The following is a 27,158-nucleotide window of genomic DNA, read 5'->3' as shown; positions in this document are numbered from 1 at the left end:
CATACACATCTCTCTTGAATCATGTTCATTTTCAAGAATCATCTTCACTGTGGTATCTACTTACATTATTTTATGCCTTTTCTAGTTTTAAGGTATTATTATAGAAAGAAATTTGTGAGTGTTTTAGAAAGCCAGCATTAGGACTAAAGCAATCCCCGTTGGGTTATATATATTTTGGTAACTTCATTATAAAGTACTAAAAAATGTAATGAGTGAATGAGGATTTAATTATAATCTAGAGTACATCTTCTGCTTCTCCAGTCTCCCATCTCCCCACTTCTTCAGTCTCCAGGAAGATGGGGGCACTCTCTCTTAAGGTTGGAATTTTGTTTCAGAAAGGTTACAAGACTGACATCAAGTGGTTATGTCAAAGATGACAACTAGAGCAAACCCCATGAATCAGAGGAATCTTTGCCTAAAATATGTTTTTAATAGAATGATATTTAAAGAAGAAAGGAAGTACTCATGCTTTGGCTCACTTACCAAACTATCGCTGTGAAATTCAGTAGCCACTCTAATTGACAATGTCTCCAATTCTTTTTAGGTATTATTTTGCCGGTGGTTATTGCTTTGATTGTAATAACACTTTCAGTATTTGTTCTGGTGGGTTTGTACCGAATGTGCTGGAAGGCAGATCCGGGTAGGTAACAGTGTTTTGTTTTGTTTTCCTGAAAGAAGAATGAATGCTCAGTTTAAACTTGATTTTAAATTCTTAAAGGGAGAGAAAAGTTATAGAAAGAAATGAAATGTCATATTTCCTGATCACAGAAACAAAGGACGAAGGGCACAGACACCCACTGAATGCTAGTGAACTGCAGAGTGGGAACTAAATACTATGAGTAGATATTATCAAATATAGGGAAATTCTTTTTAATAAAATAGCCCAAATTTTATGGGTGGTCAGGGGAATATGATAGTAAAGAGGGCATAACAATGACATAACTTGTCTATGGTAAAGATTAACTCCATTTCTATGTAACAGAAAATAAAGAGGGAGATTGCTAAGAATTCAGCTCAGGGGCCCATAATCTCAAAAAATGTCCCGTGACTAATTTCCCTCCTGGGAGACACACCCAACGAAAGTATCTTCCAAGACCATGTTATATTTTTTATCCTTTTTAAAAATAAACTTTCTATTTTAGAGTAGACTTAGAGTTACAGGGAAGTTGCAAAGATAGTACAGTGAGTCACCATACCTAGTTTCCCTTATTCCCTTATTAAGATCTGATGGTATGTTTGTCACAATTAGTGAACTAATACTGATAAATTATTGTTAACTAAATTCTGATTTCTTTTAGTCTTTACTCAGTCTTTTTTCTGTTCCAAGAAATTTGCCTCTTCTTTACTCAACCTTCACCTAAATACCCCTTCAACTCCCATGGCTCAGCTGTCATGTTACCGTAATTGCAAACTATCTTTCCACTTCACAGCCCAGCCCTGGTCGTATAATGTAGTAGCATGTATCCATGCCCTCATCCATACTATTCCTTCTGGAATATCCAGCCCACCTCTTACCTTTCATAACATACCTAATCTCCAACTTACCCATTAGGACTCAACTCAAACACAAATTTACTGTATCTTTTTATAACATACCACTTCTTCAAGCAGAATGAATTCTACCTTTAATTGTATTACTACAGATTTGGATTATATCATTTATCATACCATAGTACAGTTACTTATTTCTCCATGTGCCTACCTCTCTTGAAAGTCAGGCAACCCTTCCAAGTCACAAATCACATATTGTTCACATTGCATGCTACCTAATATATAGCAGGCCCTTACTATATACTTATTGAGTTACATTTTTAAAGGTACAGTAAATAGAATTCTTCTTCCCCACTTTAATTCTAAATATGTCACAAAAAAATCTAAGTCTCATAAACTGTTAGAAGGTAAAAAGCAATTATTTTTATAATGTATATAAGCTGCATTATTCTTTGTTTACCTCATGGACAGTGTGCCCCCCAGGACACCAGTGAATGCTATCCCTAAAGCCACCTGCTCACCATGCATTGCATGGACAGTTGTAGTATGATAACGACAGTACCAAGAGAAGCTAGGAGACCAAAACAGCAGAGTTCATTTTAGCTCTTGGTGAAAAGTAAAAACAAATCAATGCCTTTTCCTTTGGGAATCAGTGAATAAACTTCTTAATGTCTGAAACATGTCTCCTTGTTCAGTTTTCAGAGGAGAAACAGCATTTTTATAAGTCAGTTTAATTTCTCTAAGTTTCTGAACTACCTACCAATCCTGTCTTTTACTGAAAATCAGCCTGAGAGTGTTGAGTAAGCAGGATATGTAAAAATTAATGTGCTAAATTTATTTGTAAAAATATGCTATACTAAAAATTACTTTACATAGGAAGATTTAAGAATGTATTATTTGAAAAGTTGACCTTTTCTATTAAAGCGGTTTCCATGGATGTATAAAGTTCCTACCACTACGGATAGCTATTCTGAAGACATGAGTATTTTAAAGTCAAGTTTGGCAATTGTACAATTAGCCAAATCTTTTTGGTTGTTGTTAACTTTGTTTCTGAGACAGAATTTACAGCACTGTTATCATTAAATTAGCACCATTAAATACCTGCAGTTAATCACTCTTCAAGTATGTGGGAGAGACTTTATCTAGTTTGGGAAATTAGTAAACCCATTCTGCTCTGTGGAAGACAACATGAATCAGAGATTTCCGTAAGAAATGAAGCTTATCTGGACAAGGTTGACAGTGGACTGAACTTTAACCAAATAAGAATGGTATATACGCAGAAAATAGTCTGTTGGCTTGCATCTATCTGCTAATGAGACTATCGCTATAGTTTCCTAGGGAAAAAATATTAAAACAGGCATATAAAAATCTCAATACATTTTGCTGGAGAGAATGCGGAGAAAAGGGAAACCTCGTACGCTGTGGGTGGAAATGTAAATTAGTACAACCACTATGGAGAACAGCTTGGAGGTTCCTCAAAAAAACTAAAAATACAGCTACTATATGATCCAGCAATCCCGCTGCTGGGTATATACGCTTAACACAGGAAATCAATATATCAAAGAAATACCTGCAGTCCCACATTTGTTGCAGCACTGTTCACAATAGCCAAGATTTGGAAGCAACCTAAGTGTCCATCAGCAGATGAATAGATAACGAAAATGTGGTGCTTATACACAGTGATGTCCATTCAGTCACAAAAAAGAATGAGATCCTGTCATTTGCAACAACATGGATGGAACTGGAAGTCATTATGTTAAGTGAAATAAGTCAGGCACAGAAAGACAAACTTCCCATGTTTTTATTTCTGGAAGCTAAAAAATCAAAACAATTGAACTCATGGAGCTAGAGAGTAGAAGGATGGCTACCAGAAGCTGGGAAGGGTAGTGGAGGGGAAGTGGAGATGGTTAATGGGTACAAAAATGTATGAAGTATGGGTAAAACCTAGTATTTGACAGCACAACAGGGCGACTATAGTCAATAATAAACTTAATGATACATTTTGAAATAACTCAATGAATATAATTGAACTGTTTGTAACACGAAGGATACTTGAGGGGATGGATACACCACTGCCATGATGTGATTGTTATGCATTGCATGCCTATATCAAAATCTCTCTTATACCCCATAAATATCTACATCTACTATGTACCCCCAAAAATTATAAATGAAAAAAACTCATTTTAAAACAGGGCTATTAGCATCACAGGTGATATTGTATATGACACATAGGAATCAAAAAATGCTGTTAAAACCTTACTGATGGAGCAAAGATGAGGTTAAGTCTAATTGGTGAGCAGCATATGGTGCCATGGGTTAAATCCTACGTATTAAGAGTTACGATGGCAATATCTTAACCAAGATGACAGAAATAGAAGCAGCCAAAATATGAGTGGAAGTTAAGGTCTTTATAAAACAAGGATAGTCAAAGCCAGGAGAATTATATTCAAAGGGCATACTCAATGACAAGATTTAGATTACATATAAAAGGAAATCTAAGAAACAGAAGCTGCAATGGAATAAAACCAGACCAAAGGAGCACAACAAGGGGAACCTTATGCAATCACATTAAACAGCTGGCCTGATTGGCCATAGATTAATGCAAGATTTGATCACCAACATTCACTCCAGAGAGGCCATGTCCTTGTGCAGAATGAATCATTCTGAGTTCTCACTCTAAACCCCAGGTGTTTTCTATCAGACAGCTGTGAAGCAGCCTGGCAAAGAGAACAAAAGATTAGTTGCAGCTAGTAGCCTCTGCGACATTTTGCAGGGCTCTTTTGAGAGGCTGAATCAGTGGGTTTAAGATACAATTAGATATAGTATCTACATTGTAGCTCACCACAAACACAGTGATTTCTGTCCCAAAAAAGAACAATGTATAAAGGAAAGTCAAAACTTCAATTCTCTGGCATAAAACCTTCAATACTTTTAATAGAATTTTTTCAGAGATACTGAAATAAACAGACATTTTCTGTTGTCCATGGGATATGCAATAATGAACAGTAATTTCACATAGTGATATGAAACTACAAGATCAAGATTAGTCCAGAACTAAGTTTAGTGGACTTGACCTAATTAGGACTATCCCATGAGTGCCAGGATAAGTATTAACCATACCTGAGGAAATGGCTTGGCAAGGGGAAAATTAAAATATTTTAAAATGACTTAGAAACATCTCTGCATAGAAAAGAGTGGACAGCAGGTGAGGGGGTTAGAGGGGCTTGCTCATATTTATGGTAGCCAACTTCTTTGCAACTCTAATAACAACTCCCTCTTCTCCTAGGCACACCAGAAAATGGAAATGATCAGTAAGTAAGCCCATATCATCTTTTGTTTAGACCCTACCATTTACGTAGTGAAAATTATTGTTACTCTACTTATACTTTTTTGGATTATTTCTAAAGTGTAGAAAATCTACATATTGGCTTTAACTGTTTGTCAGAGCTCTCTCCATTTAACAGAGAAATTCCAAATGTAAGATCATGTTTAATCTTAGAATGGTAAAATGGGAAATAAAAAGATGAAATGGAAAAGTAGAAGAATGAATATAATTATGAGGGAAAATATCATAGAAAAAATACCTAGAGTTTTAAAATAGTTTCCCAGTGAAATTTTTAATATGTTTATCACAGGGAAATTTGTGCTTCTACCTTGAGCCAGTTCTCAGTGCCTTTAAGGTAGATGGCTGTTTTACTTTGACTTGATTAAAATAAAGCAGATTTTAGTAATCCAGGCAACTGTAACAACCAAGGTGCTGCAAAGAGACATGATGAATTGATTTTCATGTCAAAACAAACCCTGTTTTCCTTGTTGACAGGAATTTGTGGTCTACCTTTATATAAGTGTTTTTATGTTTCATAAGGTTGTAAACTTTAGAAATAATGCTAAATTACTATTCATATGACTTAGAGACTCCTCAGATGTCCAAAGGAAATAATTAGAGTTTGAAACTCTTTTGGATAGATGAGAACTCTTGATTAAAATAGGCAGTTCAGATACTATACTACAGTATCTCAGAACTTCAGGAAAAGGAATATCTCCAGAATTCAGCCTAAGCCCAAAAGGCTTGTAAACATTTCTATGTCTTCCTCTCCATAATTCAGAATTGGAGACATGTGCGATATGGACCTTGTGCCAAGTGTTTCACACAACTCAAACTAATTTTTAATTTATCTGACAATCACCACTATAAGAGAGTGGCAGGGATTTATTGGCTTGATTCCAGAAAAAGTAAAAATTGCTAAAAAGTATATGTGTATTTGTATGTGAAAAGACAAAGTTCTTGCCATGGAGATATATATATATATATATGTATGTATACACACACACACACGTATATATATACACACACATTATATATATATATGCATATGTATCTTCGTCATTCTGTTTGTGTCACAATACTTTCACAAACATACAATGCTGATTACTGTGGTGTTAATTTCATGTTTTTTTTTTCAAATAGACCTCAGTCTGATAAAGAGAGCGTGAAGCTTCTTACCGTTAAGACAATTTCTCATGAGTCTGGTAAGTTTCCAGACAAGTTGATTAGATGAAAATTAGTTATTTTAGAATCTAACTATAACCTTGGATTTTGTTCATGTGAAACATAAACAAAAGGCCTAACTTCTTTAGAAATAGCCAATTACTGTCAATAAGTGTAAAATTCTCCCATGAAGGAAAGAAAAATCTTACCAATTTGATAAGATTATTGGACTATGTGGCCTTTAGAGGTTGCTTTCTATAGATGTGTGGATGTGTAGATGGCTGGAGGCATTTCCTATTCTGCAGGAGTGGCAGAAAGATACCAAAATTTGTTAACAAGTTTTTAAATTATTGCTGTTGTTTTGTTTCATTTTGGTGCTGGCTATGTAGTCGCATATGGTCAAAAAGGCAAAAAAACTGGTCATCAGTTAAAATGTAAATCATGTTTTATATCATTTATATACATTTAATTGAGCCTCTCCATAAAGGTAAAATATAATATTCTATTGATGTAATGTGAATTTTTCCAGTTTCTTAGGTATATTCATTTGATTGGAATTGTAAAAGTCTTTCAAAATATAGGTATGATTTGTGTCAAGAACAATGAAAAAATGTGGTGCTAGATAGCTTTTCAAAATTAAAATCATGGATTTTTCTTTCTTTTGAGTAGATTAGACATTTAAACCATTGATATCACGAAACAGATCAATTAAAAACAAATTATTAGTTTTATAAAATAATCTGGCCGGGAGCTATGGCTCATGCCTGTAATCCCAGCACTTTGGGAGGCTGAGGCGGGCAGATCACCTGAGGTCAGGAGTTTGAGACCAGCGTGGCCAAAATGGTGAAACTCTGTCACTACTGAAAAATACAAAAATTAGCTGGGCATGGTGGCGCATGCCTGTAATCCCAGCTACCCTGGAGACTGAGGCAGGAGAAATGCTGGAACCCGGGGGGCGGAAGCTGCAAGATCGTGCCACGGCACTCCAGCCTGGGTGACAAAGGAGCGAGACTTCATAAAAAAAATAAAAATATAGATATAAAAAACCATGTGGGTCTAATTTAAATATCATGTTACATTAATACATTTATAATAACCAATTCCCCAGTTGAATAAGCTATATTATAAATATTTCTGGTGGCTGAAAATAATTTTGTAAAACAGAAAACTATAAATATTGTCCCAAATCAAGAGCAAGATATTAAAGGCTGAAAGTGTTCTCAATTTCATGTATAAATTCAAACTAGAACAAACGGCAAAAGGCAAACAGAAGAGTTGAAGAGCAGGAACAGCTGAAGCCTGCACAGGAATGCTGAAATCCCTCACATGAGCCATCTTATTTTAGGAGAGATCTCCTTTGCTCTTGTATCTCTTCCACTCTTCAATACACATATTTCCTTTATTCCCATACTATACTTTCTCTCAGGAGGAACCATCTGAAGGGGGCAAAGGAGCAAAGTGTACCCATAGAGTGGTTAGAAGCCACTCACAGTTTTCTCCTGGCTATTCACCAGCCTTTACTAAGTAGCCAGGCCTATTTTACCAGGTCAGGGAAAAGGGCAAAAAAAAAAAAAAAAAAAAAAAAAAAAAGTGCTCAAGCAGCCTAATGTGAACCAGTCCTGAGTAAGCACATGAGAGATCCTAAGTGTGACTACACGATTTATCAAGAAAAGACCTCAGAATCTGCCCGTGGCTTGCAAGCAGGCATCACACATACTCCAAACCCTCTGCAGTCATGTTGGCTCTCCAAGTGGTGAGTCAGGGTGCTAAACATACCTGGAAGTGCTCTGTGTAGAAGCTCCTGGCTCTCCTTGTGAGGAGGGTGCTGGGATCAGTTTTCTACCACCCATTTCTGCCAAAGAAATGGGACAACTGACACTAGAATCATGACTTCCAGCAGGGGGAAAGCCTCAGAGAACCTTGTGTTTCTTCGTTGCAAATGTAATAGCAGACTCTAAGGCCTGGGGAAAATTCCGTGTAGGCTCTCTCCCACTCTAGTGGTGACCATAGCAGTAAGTGGAATAGACGATGGCAGACTAGTTAAATAGACCGTTGGCCCACCTAACTTCCTTTTCTTCAAAAATAACTTGTCAGGTCACAGGTCTAAGAGGGAGATATTACCATGGAAATAGTAAGATATATTCTTGGGTACTTTTATTTCTGCCAACTTCAATTTAGAAATTGTATTGCTTTTACCAAAATAACCTCTCAAAGGGCAACCCAGATGATTACCATGGAAAATATTTGGTGATAAGGCAACACTGAAATTGATGATTCAGAGTAGACTTCAGTAGCCCAGAATTTATCATCTAAAATATAATGCTATCCAAATGCTCCTTGTACTACCACAATTTTTATTCAAGTCTATCATTAACAGAACTTGGTGGCTCCCCAAACACTAGCAAACAAATTTCTTCCCACTGCATTTCAAAATGTATTCAAATATCTTTTCTTTATAATGCTATGCTCACTACACTCAAGAGAAGTTACGTTACTAAAATTATTTTTATTTAAGTAACTTCTCTTGCCTAATACTGACATCTTTCCTAAAAAATAAGTAGAAAAAAAAAACTTAAATGGTTAGGTTTGATGTCAGTTCACAAGCTTAACTCAATTTTTCTACTGCTGCCTATATAAAAATTTTTAGAAATTTTTAAAATACAGAAAACAATTGATAGAACAAATATCTGACCACCAGCTACTCAGAATTGATGACTGTTACAATTTACTTTATTTGTTTCAAGACCTAAGAAATACAATGTTAATTAATGAGCATAGAAGGGTAACACAATGAAATTTGAGCTTCAGTGGTCATAAAAATTATTTGAATCTGTCATTGCTTCAGTGTAGAAACCCTGGACATTTTACTATGGTACAGACCAATAAACAATGTTTCCAAGGAAACAGCCCTCTGCAGCCACCCACTTTTAGGGAAAATGCCAAGGGATGCCAAATCTTCTGGTTTTCTAGAAGCCTCAATGAGCCACAGTTAAAGTTCTGGTCATTTTCTCCAGGGAAGAGAGTTCTTTGACCCAAATCCCTCTTTTTCAGTTAGGTCATGGAATAAGTAATATGGTTGATGTTCATCCATCCATACTCCCTTCTTCCTTTAAATATATTCTTCGTTGAATAAGGTCTTCTGCTGAAACTGTAACTCATGCATGTTTAAATTTGGAATTCTCTTAAATGTAAAAGAGAAAGCTTACTAGGGTATAACAAGAAGATGCTTTCAGGAAAAAAAATGGGCATCAAATGTTGCAGATCAAGGAGTCCTTCATAAGAACATATAAGCTACTTCTCAGCTTTAGTAAGCGATCTTGTCAGGTTAAACATCACCATGATTGACTAAAAAATGTATGTGTGACATGCATTTTAAACATGATTCTTATTTATATCATCTCAGACAGTTAATACACATTATCTCACTTTTAATATGTCAAGTCATATAAATTATAAAGAAAAATCTTGAAATTAGAAATATATGACTCTATGGAAGAAGAAAAACATTGCATCACTAAACTTAGCTTCAAGGCATCAGTTGATTTTGAACCATTTAGAGTAAGAAAAATCAGATCTGAATTCATTAGAATATTCCTCTACTTGGAAGACTCTGATAAGTAATAACTTAAGGTTAAGTTCAAACACCTTAGCATGTCTGCAACACCGTCCATGATGTGCCTGCCTTCTCTAGCTCAGTTTTGAAAGCACTTGATATACAATAATAATGCATATTTCTCCGACTTCATTCATTCCCTTCCCTGTCCCCTGACTGTCTCTCTCTCTGAACCCAGCTTTCTAGAAGGAAGAGAGAGTCTCTTGCTCTCCTTTGTCATGTACACTTACCCCTCTAATGGTAATTACATATAATTAATATGTCATTAGCAAACTAACTAATTGGTATGCTATGGCAATTACTCATTAAGTGCATAGTCATCTTTGTTTGCTTATTTATTTTTACAAGTAAAAGTTCATTAACAACAAAAAAAAACCACAGAGTAAAAATGAACAAAACATTCACAAATTTATAAAGCCATATATAGAATCCTCTTCTGTCCGCAGCCCGTCAATATTTGTCTCATTCTCTGCATTTCCACCAAAGCTTCCTTGACTGTTTCAACTACAAATAGTCTTTCCCTCATCTTAACATGTTGTTAATTTGGCAAATTAACATATATTACTGCCTTATAATATTTCTTCATGGCTGAAACTACCATTTTAATATTTGACCAGATTATGCATAATGAAAAATAGAAAAAAATAGAGAATAAAAAAGAATTTAAAACTACCTATGAAACAATCTTCATACAACCACTACTGGTATTTGATATATTTCCCTCTGGATTTTTTTTTCACTAGATATGTGTGTGGGTTGTTTTCTTTTACTATAAATATCATTATTCTTGTTACTGATATCATATTGTTATTAAATTTTTCTCAAAATTTCTAGTCTGTCAATTAAACAGACCTTGAGGAAGAATATTACGAATTGTAAAGATTTTCAATGACTTGCTTTGCATGACTTCTGGCAGATACTAGGGGATGACTCAATATTTATTTTATTTACTTCTCATTCCAGTACTTCATAGCCGTGGGTTCCAAGCAGGTGCTGTGTCTTCTGCAAAACGAACAATAGTTAGCAAAAGATTGCCTTGGAGCAGGGGCTGGGGGTGCTGCAGAACTATGCCCAACATTTCTCAGAGCATAGAATCGAAGGAGCTCTTGAAGAGGAGTCTTGAATTTGTTCTCCTCAGAGGTCTCTGGCACTATTTATTATTGCCGTGATGGTACAAGTAACAGGTGACATCCTCAGAGTCCCGAAAGGACAGATTTCCTAACAAGTGGCAGATAAAAGCTGGAGCAAAATGATGAGAATTATTCTAAAAGCCGGAGATTTGACCTATATTGCTTTTATATTGTTTGACTGATGTTGATACTCGATTCTACCTGAAGGACACAAGTAATGCGAAATATATTGGTCATGAATCCAGTGGCATGTGAAAAATACTTGGGGCCTCTCAGCTTGCCACCATCCTAGGTTAATATTTCTCTGTATATTGGATGGTGGAATAGCACTGGGATTTTGAGTAATGGCACCTGCGCTGCTCTGTATATCACCCAAGTGTTCATATTGGCCTATAAATTCATTTTCACAAAACCCTCACTGAATTATTTAAACAGAAGGACCCTAGAATGTCTTCCTGATAAAATGGCACTTTAAACACATGACATGGGCTTGCTTAGGCACAGCCAGCTCATGTAACAAGCAAAAATCAATACTTATTCCCCAGGGTTTCTCTAATGTTATCATCTCCCAACTCACATCCCCGCCCCCACTGCCCCCTGACCTATCCCACCCAGGACTTCATATTGCTACTTTAAAGTGAAAACAGATGATGTCTGGGAAAAGTTCATATATTTTGGTGACTAATTTCTAGACAATACCAAGAGGCAAATGGTGGCTTTAATGACATTCTTGCAGGAAAGTTGAACTTTCCTTGAAAAATAGAAAAAAGCTAGGAAACTTTATTTTCATCCTTACTCAGTCTCTGAGCTTACAGATCAAAACATATCTTCTGTTCTCAGGTGAGCACTCTGCACAAGGAAAAACCAAGAACTGACAGCTTGAGGAATTCTCTCCACACCTAGGCAATAATTACGTAAGTTTCCCAATTTCATTCACGGAGACAATCATTAATATCTGTTTTGTTAGCCTGGTGCAGCTTAGATTGTTTTTAAAGAATTTCAAAAGCTGGAAAGCTAATGGTTTGTGTCAATGCAATGATCATTGTCTATTTGTCTAAAAACAAACTCTAACAAAAATTGCCAAAAAATGAATGACCTGGTGGTTGTAGACGATTTGTCCAATTCTCTTGCCTGTCTAAGGAATGACACAATTTGCTCTTTCTGCCTGTTGTTAATGTTTCCTTGTAAATTCAGTCTGCCTACCTAGGTCAGTAAGCACACACTAACTGTGGCACTTAGACAGGCTTCTGTTGCTGACAAAGACTGGCAGAATCCAAGTGACGGTGCTTGCAAATTTGCAGTTTATTGCAAGAAAATGATAAAATATAGAAACTGCATTAAAGTAAAGATGTGTATCACAGCCGTAGGCTGGCTCAGGGAAATGGGTTCAGAGAAGCTAGTTGAAGGGTCTAATTGCCCTCTCTCTATAAGGACCATACCAGAATATGGTCCTTATATTTTTCTCTCTGGGTCCAGAAACCATGGATGTGTGGAAAAAAACACCTCAAACAAGATGATCTAAAATTCAGTTTCAGCCAGGTTTCCTTTTACTCAGCTGGTCATGTAGACATAGTCTTGCTGTGTAACCAGCCAAGCAACAGAGCCCTCCAGGTATCTTGACAAAACCAGATACAAATGATCAATCTTACTACAATAATTGTGAATCAATAAAAAATGGAAATTTCTCAAAAGTATGTTCCATGTCATGACCAGGAGTAAGCTCAAGGCAGGTACGTTTCTTATTTTAGTAAACAGCTCAGGCCAACGTTAAACCTGCTTTGGAATTAAGTCTCCCAGTTGGTATGGGATTGACTTTTACTTTCCTAGAACTAAGTAAGGAAATGCTCTTCTGACTTTAATTTAATTGTTACAAGAAGTATTGATTAAGTGCTGTCACTTAGTTTTTGAGGTTTTATAAAACTTGCAGAAGAATCTACCTTTCGGCAACTAACAATAAAAAATAAAATAAAATAAAATAAATACGTGTCCAGAATTGGCCTGACCACAATGATAGTCACTCTAGGTAAAGTGTCCACGATGAGAAATATTGTTATTCATGGCCTATGTCTAATCCCTAATTAACTAACACTGTTCTGTTACAGACACTCAGAAATTTCTTGTAGAATAAATGGTACCTGCTGTGCTTGTCTGACCAGTAGCAGAAGACAGAGACAGAGGAGTGCCATCCAAACATATGTGTCAGTATCAGAATTTTATCCCTCTCTAGCCAGTAATTAGGGATGGATTAGGAATCTTGGAATTTGTGCACCTCCAGCATGCTGCAGTGCCCTATGGAAAAGAGGCAAGACTGCCTTCCCCTGCCCTCCTGCTCTTCACCAGTCATGAGCCCCTAGCTTGGGCCTGCAATGCAACCACCTTTCCCCAGCTGATTATTCTAATTGGCAGTGGCTCTGAGTGGCATGCCAAGGTCCCTGCCCCTGCTGCCACCAAGCTGGGGAGAGAGAAAAAATCCTAAGCTTGTCTCAGGCCTGCAGTGCACAGTCTGGGAGTGCTAAGCTGAGATCTATGACCAGCACTTGAGTGGGAGAGGATCACACACTCTCAGAGCACTGAGGGGAAGCATGGCTACAAATGTGAGGAAACACAGAGGGGCTGCATGGCTGGGTAAGAGCCTATCTACCAGTCATTATGTTTAAGCACTATCTATTAAATTGCAAACCAAACTTCAACACCAAAAATACTTTGGTAATATACTCCTCTGTAAAACCAAGGACAAGAACTCAACTGCAAATAAAGACCCTGCACAAAGCCTCAGCCCTCTGAACACATACAGAAATGAAACCGACTGACTATACTCAAATTACACTGCAATTAAAGAAACATCAGTCCACATAGGTGAGAAAGAACCAGCTCAAGAACTCCTGAAACTCTAAAAGCCAGATTGCCTCCTTACCTCCAAATGACTGAACTAGCTGCTCTGCAGTGATTCTTAACCAGAATAAAATGGATGAAATTACAGAAATAGAATTCAGAATCTGGATGGCAATGAAGATCACTGAAAATCAGAAGATTGAAACCCATTCCGAGGAATCTGAGGAATTCAACAAAACCATACAAGGAATGAAATATGAAATAGCCATTTTAAGAAAGAACAAAACTGATCTGACAGAGCTGAAAAACTCACCACAAGAATTTCATAACACATTGGAAGTATTAACAGCAGAGTAGACCAAGTCAAGTAAAGAATCTCAGAACTCAAAGACTAGTTCTTCACATTAACAGTCAGATAAAAATAAAGAAAATAGAATTTTCAAAAATGAACAAATCTCCAAGAAACATGAGATTATGTAAAAAGACAAAACTTATGACCCATTGGCATCCCTGAAAGACAGGGAAAGAAAGCAAGCAATTTGGAAAACATGTTTGAGGATATTGTCCATGAAAATGTCCCCAACTTAGCTAGAGAGGTTGATATTCAAATTCAGGAAATTCAGAGAACCCCAGCAAGATACTATATAATACAACCATCCCCAAGACACATAGTCATCAGATCCTCCAAGGTCAATGTGAAAAGAAAACTATTAAAGGTAGCTAGGGAGAATGAGCAGGTCAACCTACAAAGGGAACCACAGCAGTGGATAACACTGGACCTTTCAGCCAAAACTCTACAAGCCAGAAGAGACTGGGGGCCTATATTCAGCATCCTTAAAGAAAAGAAATTCCAACAAAGAATTTCATATCCAGCCAAACTAGACCTCATAAGCAAAGGAGAAATAAAATCCTTTTCAGACAAGCAAATACTAAGGGAATTCATTACCACCAGACCTGCTTTTCAAGAGGTTCATAGGGAGTGCTGAATATGGAAATGAAAGACCATTACTGGCTACTACAAAAACACACTAAAGTTCATACACCATTGATGCTATAAAGCAAAAACACAATCATGTCTACGTAACGCCAGGTAACAACAGAATGACAGGATCAAATCCACACATATTAATATTAACCTTGAATGGTAGTGGGCTAAACACTCCACTTAAAAGGCATAAAGTGGCAAATTGATTAAAGAAGAAAGACCCAAGTGTATGCTGTCTTTAAGAGACCAATCTCACATTCAAGGACACCTATAGGCTCAGAGTAAAGGGATGGAGAAAGATTTATCAAGCAAATAGAAAACAAACAAAAAAGAGCAGGGGTTGCTATTCTTATTTCAGACAAAACAGACTTTAAACCAAAAATGATCAAAAAGGACAAAGAAAGGAAGTGATAAAGGGTTCAACTCAACAAGAAGACTTAACTATCCTAAATATATGCACCCAATACTACAGCACCTGGATTTATAAAACAAATTCTTTTAGTCTTACAAAGAGACATAGGTAACCACACAATAATAGTAGATTTCAACACCCCACTGATGATATTGGAGAGATCATCAAGACAGATTACTAACAAAGACATCTGGGACCTACATTTGACAATTGACAAAATAGAACTAACATGCATCTACAGAAAAGTCCACTCAACAAAAGCAGAATATAAATCCTTCTCATCCATGCATGACACATACTCTAAAATTGACTACATGCTCAGCCAGAAATTCTCAATAATTTCAAAAAAGCCAAAATCATACCAGCCACATTCTCCGACCACAGCACAATAAGAGTAGAAATCAATACCAAGAAGATTTTTAAAAACCCTACAACTAAGTGGATATTAAATAATCTGCTCCTGAATGACTTTTGTGTAAACAATGAAATTAAAGCAGAAATTATGAAATTCTTTAAAACTAATGAAAGCAAATATACAACATACCAGAATCTCTGAGATACAGCTTCAACAGTGTTAAGACAAAAGTTAATAGCACTAAATGCCCACATCAAAAAATCAGAAAGATCTCAAATTGACAATCTAACATCACACCTAGAGGAACTAAACAAATAAGAACAAACTAATCCCACAGCTAGCAAAAGAAAAATAACCAAAATCAGAGATGAATTGAGTGACATGGAGATGATAAGAACTATGCAAAAGATCAACAAAACCAAAAGTTTGCCTTTTGGAAGAATAAATAAGACTGATAGACTGTTAGCTAGACTAAAAATGAAAAAAGAGAAGATCCAAATAAACACTATCAGAAATGATAGTGGATATTACCACTGACTCCACAGAAATACAAAAACAAACAAACAAACAAAAAATCCAGAGACTATTACAAACATCTTTATGTACCCAAACCAGAAAACCTAAAAGAAATAGATAAATTCCTGGAAAAATACAACGTCCCAAGATTGAACCAGGAATAAATTGAAACCCTGAACAGACCAATAATGCATTCCAAAATTGAATCAGTAATAAAAAAACCCTACCAACCAGAAAAAGCCCTGGACCAGACAGATTCACAGCTGAATTCTACCAGGTGTACAAAGAAGAGCTGGTACCAATCCTACTGAATCAATTCCAAAAAAACGAGAAGAAACTCCTCCCTAACTCTTTCTATGTGGCTAACATCACACTGATATCATGAAACCTGCAGAAACACAATGAACAAAGAAAACTTCAGGCCAATATCTCTGATGAACCTAGATGCAAAAGTTCTCAACAAAATACTAGTAAAGTAAACTGAACCCAGAAGAATGTCATAAAGCTAATCCACCATGATCAAGAAAGCTTCATCCCTGAGATGCAAGGTTGATTCAACATACATAAATCAATAAGTGCAATTCATTACATAAACAGAACTCAAAACAAAAATTGCATGATCATCTTAATAAGTGCAGTCAGAAAAGGCTTGTGAAAGAATTTAACATCTTTTCATGTTAAAATCCCTCAACAATCCAGGCATTGAAGAAATATACCTCAAAATAATAAGATCCATCTATGACAAACCCACAACCAACATCAGACTGAATGGGAAAAAGCATCTGGAATTGTTCCTGGGAAAACTGTAACAAAACATGGATGCCCAGTCTCACCACTCATATTCACATGGTATTGGGAGTCATAGCCAGAGCAGTCAGGCAAGAGAAGAAATAAAAGGCATTCAAATATGAAGAGAAGAAGTTAAACGATCTGTCTTCATAGATTATATGTTTCTATACCTAGAAAACCCCATAGTCTCTTCCCAAAGGCTCCTAGCTCTGATAAACAACTTCAGCAAAGTTTTGGGATACAAAATCAATGTACAAAATTCAGTAGCATTTCTATACACCAACAACATCCAAGCTGAGAGACAAATCAAGAATGCAATCTGATTCACAGGAGCCACAAAAAGAATAAAATACCTAGGAATATAGTTAACCTGGAAGACAAAAGAGCTCTATAATGAGAAGTACAAAACACTGTCAAAAGAAATCAGAAATGACATGAACCAATGGAAAAACATTGCATGTTCATGGATTGGAAGAATCAATATTGTTAAAAAAGGCCATACTCTTCAAAGCAATCTACAGAATCAATGTTATTCTCTATCAAACTACCAGTGACATTTTTCACAGAATTAGAAAAAAGCTATTCTGAAATTCATCTGGATCCAAAAGAGAGCCCAAATAGCTAAAGCAATGCTAAGCAAAAAGAACAAAGCTGGAGGCATTACCTTACCCAACTTCAAATGATACTACAAGGCTACAGTAACTAGTACAGTATGATACTGATACAAAAACAGACACACAGATAAATGAAACAAGTTAGAGAGCCCTGAAATAATGCCACACACCTACAACTTCAAATGATACTACAAGGCTACAGTAACTAGTACAGTATGACAAATGATACTACAACTCTACAGTAACTAGTACAGTATGATACTGGTACAAAAACAGACAAATAGATCAATGAAACAAGTTAGAGAACTCTGAAATAATGCCACACACGTATAACCATCTCATCTTTAACAAAGCTGACAATAACAAGCAGTGGGGAAAGGACTTTCTATTCAAGGAATAGTGCTGGGATAAATGGCTAGCCATAGGCAGAAGATTAAAACTGGATCCTTACCTTTTATCATATACAAAAATCAACTAAGATGGATTGAAGACTTGAATGTAAAACAAAAACTATAAAATCCCTAGAAGAATACCTAGGAAATACCATTCTGTGCATCAGTCTTCATGATGAAGACTCCAAAAGCAATTGCAACAAAAACAAAAACTAACAAGACCTAGCTAAACTAAAGAGCTTCTGCACAGCCTAAGAAACTATCAACAGAGTAAACAGACGACTTACAAAATGGGAGAAAATGTTCACGAACTATGCATCCGATAAAGGTATAATATCCAGAATCTATAAGGAACTTAAACAAATGAAAGAGTAAAAAACAACCCCATTAAAAAATGGGCAAAGGACATGAATGCACACTTCTCAAAAGAAGACATACACAGGGCCAACAAGCATATGCAAAAGTGCCTAATATCACTAATCATTTGGGAAATGCAAATCAAAACCATAATGAGATGCTGTCTCATATCAGTCAGAATGGTGACCATTAAAAAGTCAAGAAGTCACAGATGCTGGCCAGGTTGTAGAGAAAAGGGAATGCTTATACACTGCAGGTGAGAATGTAAATGAGTTCAATCACTGTGGAAACAGCCTGGAGATTTCTCAAAGAACTTAAAATAGAACTACCATTCAACCCAGCAGTCCCATTACTAGATACAGACCAAAGAAATACAAATTGTTTTACTACCAAATCACATGACATGTATGTTCATCACAGCACTATTTACAATAAGAGAGACATGGAATGAACCTAGATGCCCACCAACCTAGATGCCCACCAACCTAGATGCCCATCAGTGGTGGACTAGATAAAGAAAATGTGGTACGCATACACTGTGGAATACTATGCAGCCATATAAGAGAGCCAGATTGTTACTTTTGCAACAACATGGATGAATCTGGAGTCCATTATTCTAAGTGAAGTTACCAAAGAGCAGAAAACCAAATACTTTATCTTCGCATTTCTAAGGGGGTGCCAAGCACTAAAGGCACAAAGCGGGGAACAAGAGACACCAGAGAATGAGTATTGAGACACTACCTATTTGGTATTATGCCAATTACATGGATGATAAAATGGTCTGAACGCCAAACCCCTATGACGTGCAATGCCCATGTAACCAACCTCCAGATGTACCCCTTGAAACTAAAATAAAAGTTTTAAAGGAAAAAAAAGGAACCTGGAAGTTGGTCCATCCTATGCAATGGACACTTTCAGGTGCAAAGTTTGAGAAGATGAGGATGAGAGACGTTGTCCAGCCCTAGCTGATATATGGAAACCTTCCTTTCTACTTGCTATGGTTGCTTTGCAACCCAGTGGCTAGTAAAGGGCTGTTTTTTAAATTACCAAAATGCTCAAATATTAGTAACTAATTGTCCAACTTGGAAAAAGCAAGTCTTCTGCAGTTGGAAAAAAAAGAAAAAAGAAAGAAAGAAAAGGTATATAGAAGGCAAGGAACAGTGTTGATCTTCGAACCAGCTTAATAAAAGTAATTTTTGTTCAACTCCCATTCCTTTCCATTTCTGTACTTTAAAAAATATTCCTAGCCTCAGATTCCAAGCCTTTTGATTTGAAAAGCTAAATAACTTTTATTGCTCCTTTTTGTAATTTTGGAATTATATAATGATGTTCTGAAGAGTAAAGATCAGAAAGTAATGGGAAGAAACAAGTTTGACATCTGTTCAATTCTATTGTCTGTCTCACTTTTTTCCTTAAGATATTTCTATCACTGTACTTTGAATTTAATAACCAAAGAGTAACTACTATCTAGGTTGTCAACTTGAAATTAGATATCAACTTGGAGATTCAGAATATATAGAAATGAATTCATCAAACCTAGAAGATTTCAGGAAAGAAGTTAAAAAGTCTTGAACCCTCATGAAACAGCAAACAGTAATACAGAAATCATCACCTATGTTAAAAATTTCCATATCAAAACAAGATTTTAGATATATTTAATGCTTGTTGCTTCATATATTGATCATCTATTTAGTGCACAGTATTATGTTTAATGTGATTCGGCAGGGCAGACAGGAATTTTGAAACATTTATGAGCTATAAACCTTGCCTTCTGCAAAGCTTTACTTCGTGGGAGCATGAAATCATATACAAGAGGGGTAGCAAATACGTAGAAGCAGCTTAAATGTTTAATGATATGGAAATTATAAAATAAATTATACTTTGCACAGTGACATTATATAATGAGTAAAAATAATTCTCGAAATAATTTTTAATAACATGAAAGCATGTCTAAGATATAAAATTAAAAGGGAAAAATAACAACTTTAGAATTGAACAGATAGCCATTTAACTGTTCTATGACCAACTCTGCACTGTTGTCAAGGGGGAATCTGCTGCTACCTGGTTGCTCCCTCACCAGTAGGTCTCATCTTCCTTCTGTTCCAAGACACCTTTGAAGGCTGAAGAGTGAAGGGGGTTTCAGACCAGTGAAGAACTGTGGTGTTAGAAAGTCCGGTAGCTTGGATCAAAGTCCGTTCCCACAGACCCTCAGCAATGTGGATTGTTAGCTATTTCCATTTTTCTCCAAGATACAATTCCCTGATACTTCTGTAATTTTCTTAATGGTGCCCTGATAATCTGGGAGTAGCTTTGTGAACTTCCAGAAGAGCTTAACATGTTTTTCAATTATTTTTCTTTCATTTTAAAATAAAATAACACAAGCTAAAAGGAAAACATCATAAATAAAGGATATTTACAATTGCCTCTCTGTATTCATGGAGGTGGAAGATTGATTTCAAAAGGCCTGGAGATACCAAAATCTGTGGTTGCTCAAGTCCCTGATGTAAATAAAACTGCATAGTATTTGAATATAACCTACACGAATTCTCTCATGTAGTACTTTAAACTATCTCTAGATTACTTGTAATACCTAATACAAGGTAAATGCTATATAAATAGTTGTTATACTATATTTCGATTTGTATTATTTTTTATTAATGTATTGTTCATTTTTACTGTTTTTGAATATTTTTAATTCACAGCTGGTTGAATCTGTGGACATAGAACCCACAGATATGGAAGGCCAACTGTATATTATGATCGTACTCTATAATCCTGAATGAATTTCTTAATAATGCTCTACACTGGGTTCCACATCTATAAAACCAAGACAAAATGATCTTTTCTCCTATGGCCATTCTGATTGTTTATAAATTGTTGTCAGTAGTGTTAAAGAAACATATTATGAAATCTTATTATAAAATAGCCATTTATTCATTATAAAAACCACAAATATATGAAAATCTAGGTTGTGAGAGATTCAGTGACTATTCAGTCCTATACCATTATTATTGAAGCCAACACACTAATTTTAGAGGGATTATAATGTTGTAAAAAAAAAGCAAAGACTGATATTGGTATGGACGTAAAGAATCATTAATGAAGCAAGATTTATTTTTTGAGAAAGATTGTCAATGTGAAATGCATGCTGATGAAACTAGAGTTTGTTCTTATTTAGGTTGCTGATCTTTGAGAAAATAATTGAAACAGTATCAATCATGAGCATTATCCTATTAGCACAAATTCAGATGTTTACCAGTTGAACTATGCTACAAACTCTTGACTTCACTTGAAAACTCATCTATGGAGGAGTATGGCTCAGTTGAACAAAAAGTGGCAGACCTTAATCCTTGTCAAGTACTATCCCAGATATAAGGAGGGCTTGTCATGGTTGCAGTTCTCAAGGAGCTTATAGAAGTGGAAAGACACACACATAAGAAAAATAATTTTAGTATAATATGGTAAATGATAACATAGTGTTATGTAAAGACAGACATGATAACGTGAAGTTTAGTGGCAAATTTCTTAGAGATGGTATTTGAGCTAAAACTTACAGAATGAGAAAAAAAACAAAAAACAAAAAAAAAAAATGTGGCCTAGGTGAAGAGAGGAAAGATTTTCCAGGCACAGGGAATAGCATGTACAAATAGGAAAAGAATTGTGAAACTGAATGGTATATGAAAGAAATCATAAAACTTTAAAAACTGTTATAGCAATCTGATACTGCTGCAACATTCATGTTATTGTATTTTTTAAAATGTCTGTTTGTAGCTGATTAGATATTGTTAGAAACCAACATTGTCCTTCACTATAAACAGCTTGAGAAGCGTTGACCTCTGGCTGGGAAACAAGGCTCAAGTAGTAGAGGGTACTAGATCACAGGAAGCCTTGTTTCCCAAGATAAATCATGAAGGATTGCATGAGGCTAGAATGAAGTACTAACTTTCTTCATTCACTAATGACATCAAAAGTCCTTTATCCACAAAGAAGGGAACAACAGACACCTGGGACTTCTTGAGGGTAGAGGGTTGGGAGGAGGGTAAGGACTGAAAAATACTATGCTTATTACATGGGTAAAATAATCTGTACCAAAAAACCCATGACATGCAGTTTACCTATATAACAAACCTGTATACATATACCCATGAACCTAAAATAAAAGTTTAAAAAAAAGAAGATAAAAATAAAAAAATAAGTCATTTATCATTTTGAGGAACCCCTCACTTGACCTTGGATATAAAATATGCCTAAAAAACTAGTTCAGTAATTGAAGGAGAGGCCTTGTCTGCAATCATCCTTCTAATCATGGTACTTAAGCTATACCATGCTCTGGCATGTGCTCGACTGCCTAGCAGCCACAGATGCTCTGGGAAGAAGTCACGGATATCCTGTTCTACAATCCTTTCCTTATCCTAAGACTTGACATGGATACCTGTAGCTGCTACCCGCAGGCCATAGCCGCCAATGTCCTGCTTTCCCCCATGTAAAGCAACAGTTCGGCCATCCCTATCAAAGAACTTGCCTTCACCAACCAAACCAGGAAAGAGCTGGTTACAGGTCTCCGCCACTTGTACCACTCCCCACACCCCACCACACACACCATATCATGCTCTCCCCAGAACCTAGCAAACCACCAACACTGCCATCAGCAACACAACACCACCTAATCTCTGCCAGTTTGGGCCACTACCCTTTTCGTACTTGGGACATAGAAGTCTCCATCTCTTGCTCTTTTATAGACCAATATCGAAAGTTGTTCCTACACTGCAGAGAAAAATGCAAAATACTAAACCAAAGGCTTGGCTACCTTTCCTATGAAGAAGTGGCAAATGGTATTCATTCATTCTTTCTTCTGATGCCTATTCATTCTTCTCCCTGATGAGTAGAAAGCAGCAAAGCTTTAAAGTTGCCCATAAATTTTTTAATTACTCACATTGTCACCCCAAGCAACAGATCTTGAACTGTATCCCATCAGTGATAGGGTACAGTTAAGGACTTTAATCAGAAAAGGAATATGAGATTTGTGCTTGATATACACCAGTGTGTGTTTAATTTGGAAGACTCATTCAAGAAGAGCAAGATCAGAAGCAGAGAAGTCAGAGGCTATTGCAATATTCCACTGGAAAAAGATAAAGGCTTAAGCTAGGGAGCTGCAGTATGGAGGAAGATGAAGAGGCAGAATAGAATAGAGAAAAATGTCTGGAGGTTAAAAATTTCATGATGTGGTGATTGATTGGATGTGGCCAATGGGGAGTGAGGAAGAATAGGACTATAGACAATACCCACACTCCCAGCCTGGGTGCCTGAATGCATCATGGAGGAAATACCAAAGATTGAGATTGTGAAGTGAGGGGAACAGGTTTGGGAAAGAAAACGAGCTTTTCTTTTCAGATATGTCAAGTTTGAAGAGCTTGAGAGACAGTCAAGTGATTCTACTAGGTGGAAAAAATGGAGCTAGTGACAACCATTTCTTACTAAGAAATGGACTCCCCCAGCATCTCTATTTCTTCTTCGCTTTCTTGGAATCTGAACTTTGTTGTTGTTGTTGTTGTTGTTGTTGTTGCTCACAGGCTTAATCTTCAGCTTCTATGCACCAAGCGTGGAAAAGGAGAAAGTCCTGCAGAATCAATCCCGACTTCCATACCTGCTGCTGGACTGTACCAGACGTCTGTCCCAGTAAAGTGATGTCCAGCTGACATGCAATAATTTGATGGAATCAAAAAGAACCCCGGGGCTCTCCTGTTCTCTCACATTTAAAAATTCCATTACTCCATTTACAGGAGCGTTCCTAGGAAAAGGAATTTTAGGAGGAGAATTTGTGAGCAGTGAATCTGACAGCCCAGGAGGTGGGCTCGCTGATAGGCATGACTTTCCTTAATGTTTAAAGTTTTCCGGGCCAAGAATTTTTATCCATGAAGACTTTCCTACTTTTCTCAGTGTTCTTATATTACCTACTGTTAGTATTTATTGTTTACCACTATGTTAATGCAGGGAAAAGTTGCACGTGTATTATTAAATATTAGGTAGAAATCATACCATGCTACTTTGTACATATAAGTATTTTATTCCTGCTTTCGTGTTACTTTTAATAAATAACTACTGTACTCAATACTCTAAAAATACTATAACATGACTGTGAAAATGGCAATGTTATTGTCTTCCTATAATTATGAATATTTTTGGATGGATTATTAGAATACATGAACTCACTAATGAAAGGCATTTGTAATAAGTCAGAAAGGGACATACGATTCACATATCAGACTGTTAGGGGGAGAGTAATTTATCAGTTCTTTGGTCTTTCTATTTGTCATTCATACTATGTGATGAAGATGTAAGTGCAAGGGCATTTATAACACTATACTGCATTCATTAAGATAATAGGATCATGATTTTTCATTAACTCATTTGATTGATATTATCTCCATGCATTTTTTATTTCTTTTAGAAATGTAATTATTTGCTCTAGCAATCATTGCTAACCTCTAGTTTGTAGAAAATCAACACTTTATAAATACATAATTATGATATTATTTTTCATTGTATCACTGTTCTAAAAATACCATATGATTATAGCTGCCACTCCATCAGGAGCAAATTCTTCTGTTAAAAGCTAACTGATCAACCTTGACCACTTTTTTGACATGTGAGATCAAAGTGTCAAGTTGGCTGAGGTTTTTTGGAAAGCTTTAGAACTAATAAGCTGCTGGTGGCAGCTTTGTAACGTATGATTATCTAAGCTGATTTTGATGCTAAATTATCTTAGTGATCTAAGGGGCAGTTTAGTGAAGATGGAATCTTGTATTTAAAATAGCCTTTTAAAATTTGTTTTGTGGTGATGTATTTTGACAACTTCCATCTTTAGGAGTTATATAATCACCTTGATTTTAGTTTCCTGATGTTTGGACTATTTATAATCAAGGACACCAAGCAAGCATAAGCATATCTATATTTCTGACTGGTGTCTCTTTGAGAAGGATGGGAAGTAGAAAAAAAAAAAAGAAAGAAAGGAAAGGAAGAGAGGAGAGAAGAAGGCAGGGATCTCCACTATGTATGTTTTCACTTTAGAACTGTTGAGCCCATGCTTAATTTTAATCTAGAAGTCTTTAAATGGTGAGACAGTGACTGGAGCATGCCAATCAGAGAGCATTTGTCTTCAGAAAAAAAAAAAATCTGAGTTTGAGACTAGCCTGGCCAACATGTTGAAACCCCATATCTACTAAAAATACAAAAATTAGCCTGGTGTGGTGGCGCACGCCTGTAGTCCCAGCTACTCTGGAGCCTGAGGAACGTGAATCGCTTGAACCCAGAAGACAGAGGTTGCAGTGAGCTGAGATGGCACTATTGCACTCCAGCCTGGGTGACACAGCAAGACTCTGTCTCAAAAAAAAAAAAAAAAAAAAGGAAAAAAAAGAAAGAAAGAAAGTCCCAGCACACCTAGATAATTTACCGAGCTCTTCAGCAAAAACCATGTTACATACAGCATATTCCAAAGAAATGAACTCTTCTGCAATTTAAATTATAAGTAATATGTTATTTTGGATCCTAGAGAAACCATTTTCTCTACATTTCATGAGCATGGTTAGAAAAGAGTTTACAAGAATTAGGAAGAGGGAACAATTTTAATGGTCAGAAAAGAATAAAATTTATTCTAGTTCAAGAAGTGCACACAAAGAATATGCATTAATCTAACAACTATGAGATTAAATCTTTCAAAAAGGTCAAAGGAGGATTGAGAAGTTTACAGAGATGTCCACGGCATTTTATATCAATCTCAAAGGTAAGGTCTGCATTTTTATAAACCAACTTAAACTTCTGTTGAGATAGGATATTTTGTTTTCAAGCCAAAATTACCATTAATCAAATATGTTTTAATTATCTGATTTAGATGATCTACTTTTTATGCCTGGCTTACTGTAAGTTTTTTATTCTGATACACAGTTCAAACATCATTGCAACAAAGAAGTGCCTGTATTTAGATCAAAGGCAAGACTTTCTATGTGTTTGTTTTGCATAATAATATGAATATAATTTAAGTCTATCAATAGTCAAAACATAAACAAAAGCTAATTAACTGGCACTGTTGTCACCTGAGACTAAGTGGATGTTGTTGGCTGACATACAGGCTCAGCCAGCAGAGAAAGAATTCTGAATTCCCCTTGCTGAACTGAACTATTCTGTTACATATGGTTGACAAATCTGTGTGTTATTTCTTTTCTACCTACCATATTTAAATTTATGAGTATCAACCGAGGACATAGTCAAACCTTCGATGATGAACATTCCTGATTTTTTGCCTGATTATTCTCTGTTGAGCTCTACTTGTGGTCATTCAAGATTTTATGATGTTGAAAGGAAAAGTGAATATGACCTTTAAAAATTGTATTTTGGGTGATGATAGTCTCACCACTATAAAACTGTCAATTATTGCCTAATGTTAAAGATATCCATCATTGTGATTAATTAAACCTATAATGAGTATTCTTAATGGAGAATTCTTAATGGATGGATTATCCCCTGATCTTTTCTTTAAAATTTCTCTGCACACACAGGACTTCTCATTTTCCAATAAATGGGTGTACTCTGCCCCAATTTCTAGGGAATTTGTCTTTTGGGCTTGAATGTACTTGTTTTCTGTTCTAAATACTTTTTAAAGAAAAAAAATTTTGACAAATAAGGGAAAATATTCATTTTGCCATCCATATTACATTCCCGAATTTGAAGTCAGAGCTTCTACCAAGGTCACCAAGAATAATTTTAAAGCTTCCAAGAACTGTTTAAAAGTGTTTTCAAGTCTGAACAAGAATTCTGACATTTAGAAATAAGTAGGAAGATAAGGCTATTTAAACTCATACTTTCCTTTAAAAAAAGAGAAATTCTAGCAAAGTGATCATGGGCAATATAATTAGTTAGTTAACACCCTATCCAACATGCACTATGTGCCAGGAACTGTGTAGAAAACTTCACAGTCACCATCTCAGTTAACCATCACAGTAATAGTAAGAAACTATTCCTTATATATGATTAGCAGCAGCAGAAACATCTCCCTTATAAAGATATGAAAATCAAGGCAGATAGTTAAATAACTTGCCCAAGGTTGTACAACTAGTAAATAGGAAAAATTTGAGTTCCAACCTATGCCCAAATCCCTGTTCTCCATCTCCAAACTACTTAGTCTCT

At 36.0% G+C, this 27,158-nt stretch overlaps 1 protein-coding gene, 1 long non-coding RNA gene and 1 other non-coding gene across 5 annotated transcripts in view; 2 read left to right on the top strand and 1 right to left on the bottom strand.

The window, feature by feature from the left end:
* The window catches only part of LOC124900740 (uncharacterized), an 89,972-nt gene extending 89,421 nt beyond the window's left edge, over window positions 1-551 (bottom strand). Inside the window, exon 1 of the long non-coding RNA XR_007058203.1 lies at window positions 484-551. This is a non-coding gene — a long non-coding RNA (uncharacterized LOC124900740). The remainder of the gene's footprint in view (window positions 1-483) is intronic.
* Window positions 1-26,581, top strand: part of EMCN (endomucin) — a 122,682-nt gene extending 96,101 nt beyond the window's left edge. For 2 of the 3 annotated variants that reach the window (NM_001159694.2, NM_016242.4), the window contains 5 exons: window positions 545-640; window positions 4,781-4,805; window positions 5,963-6,024; window positions 11,567-11,640; window positions 23,549-26,581. In NM_001159694.2, coding sequence (NP_001153166.1) covers window positions 545-640; window positions 4,781-4,805; window positions 5,963-6,024; window positions 11,567-11,601 — 218 coding nt within the window. In that variant the 3' untranslated portion in view covers window positions 11,602-11,640; window positions 23,549-26,581. Of the gene's footprint in view, window positions 1-544; window positions 641-4,780; window positions 4,806-5,962; window positions 6,025-11,566; window positions 11,641-12,828; window positions 20,517-23,548 lie in introns of those variants that run through there. The other variant, XM_011532024.4, reaches the window with a different exon arrangement.
* A 93-nt stretch (window positions 26,582-26,674) lies between these two features.
* On the top strand, window positions 26,675-26,795 carry SNORA101A (small nucleolar RNA, H/ACA box 101A). The gene has a single exon (NR_135619.1). It is a non-coding gene; the product is annotated as a small nucleolar RNA, H/ACA box 101A (small nucleolar RNA).
* The last annotated feature ends 363 nt before the right edge of the window (window positions 26,796-27,158 follow it).

Source organism: Homo sapiens, chromosome 4 (assembly GCF_000001405.40).
Source record: "Homo sapiens chromosome 4, GRCh38.p14 Primary Assembly".
NCBI classification, from domain to species: Eukaryota; Metazoa; Chordata; class Mammalia; order Primates; family Hominidae; genus Homo; species Homo sapiens.
The sequence above is the reverse complement of the archived record's forward strand: the minus strand, read 5'-3'. Positions and strand labels throughout refer to the sequence as shown.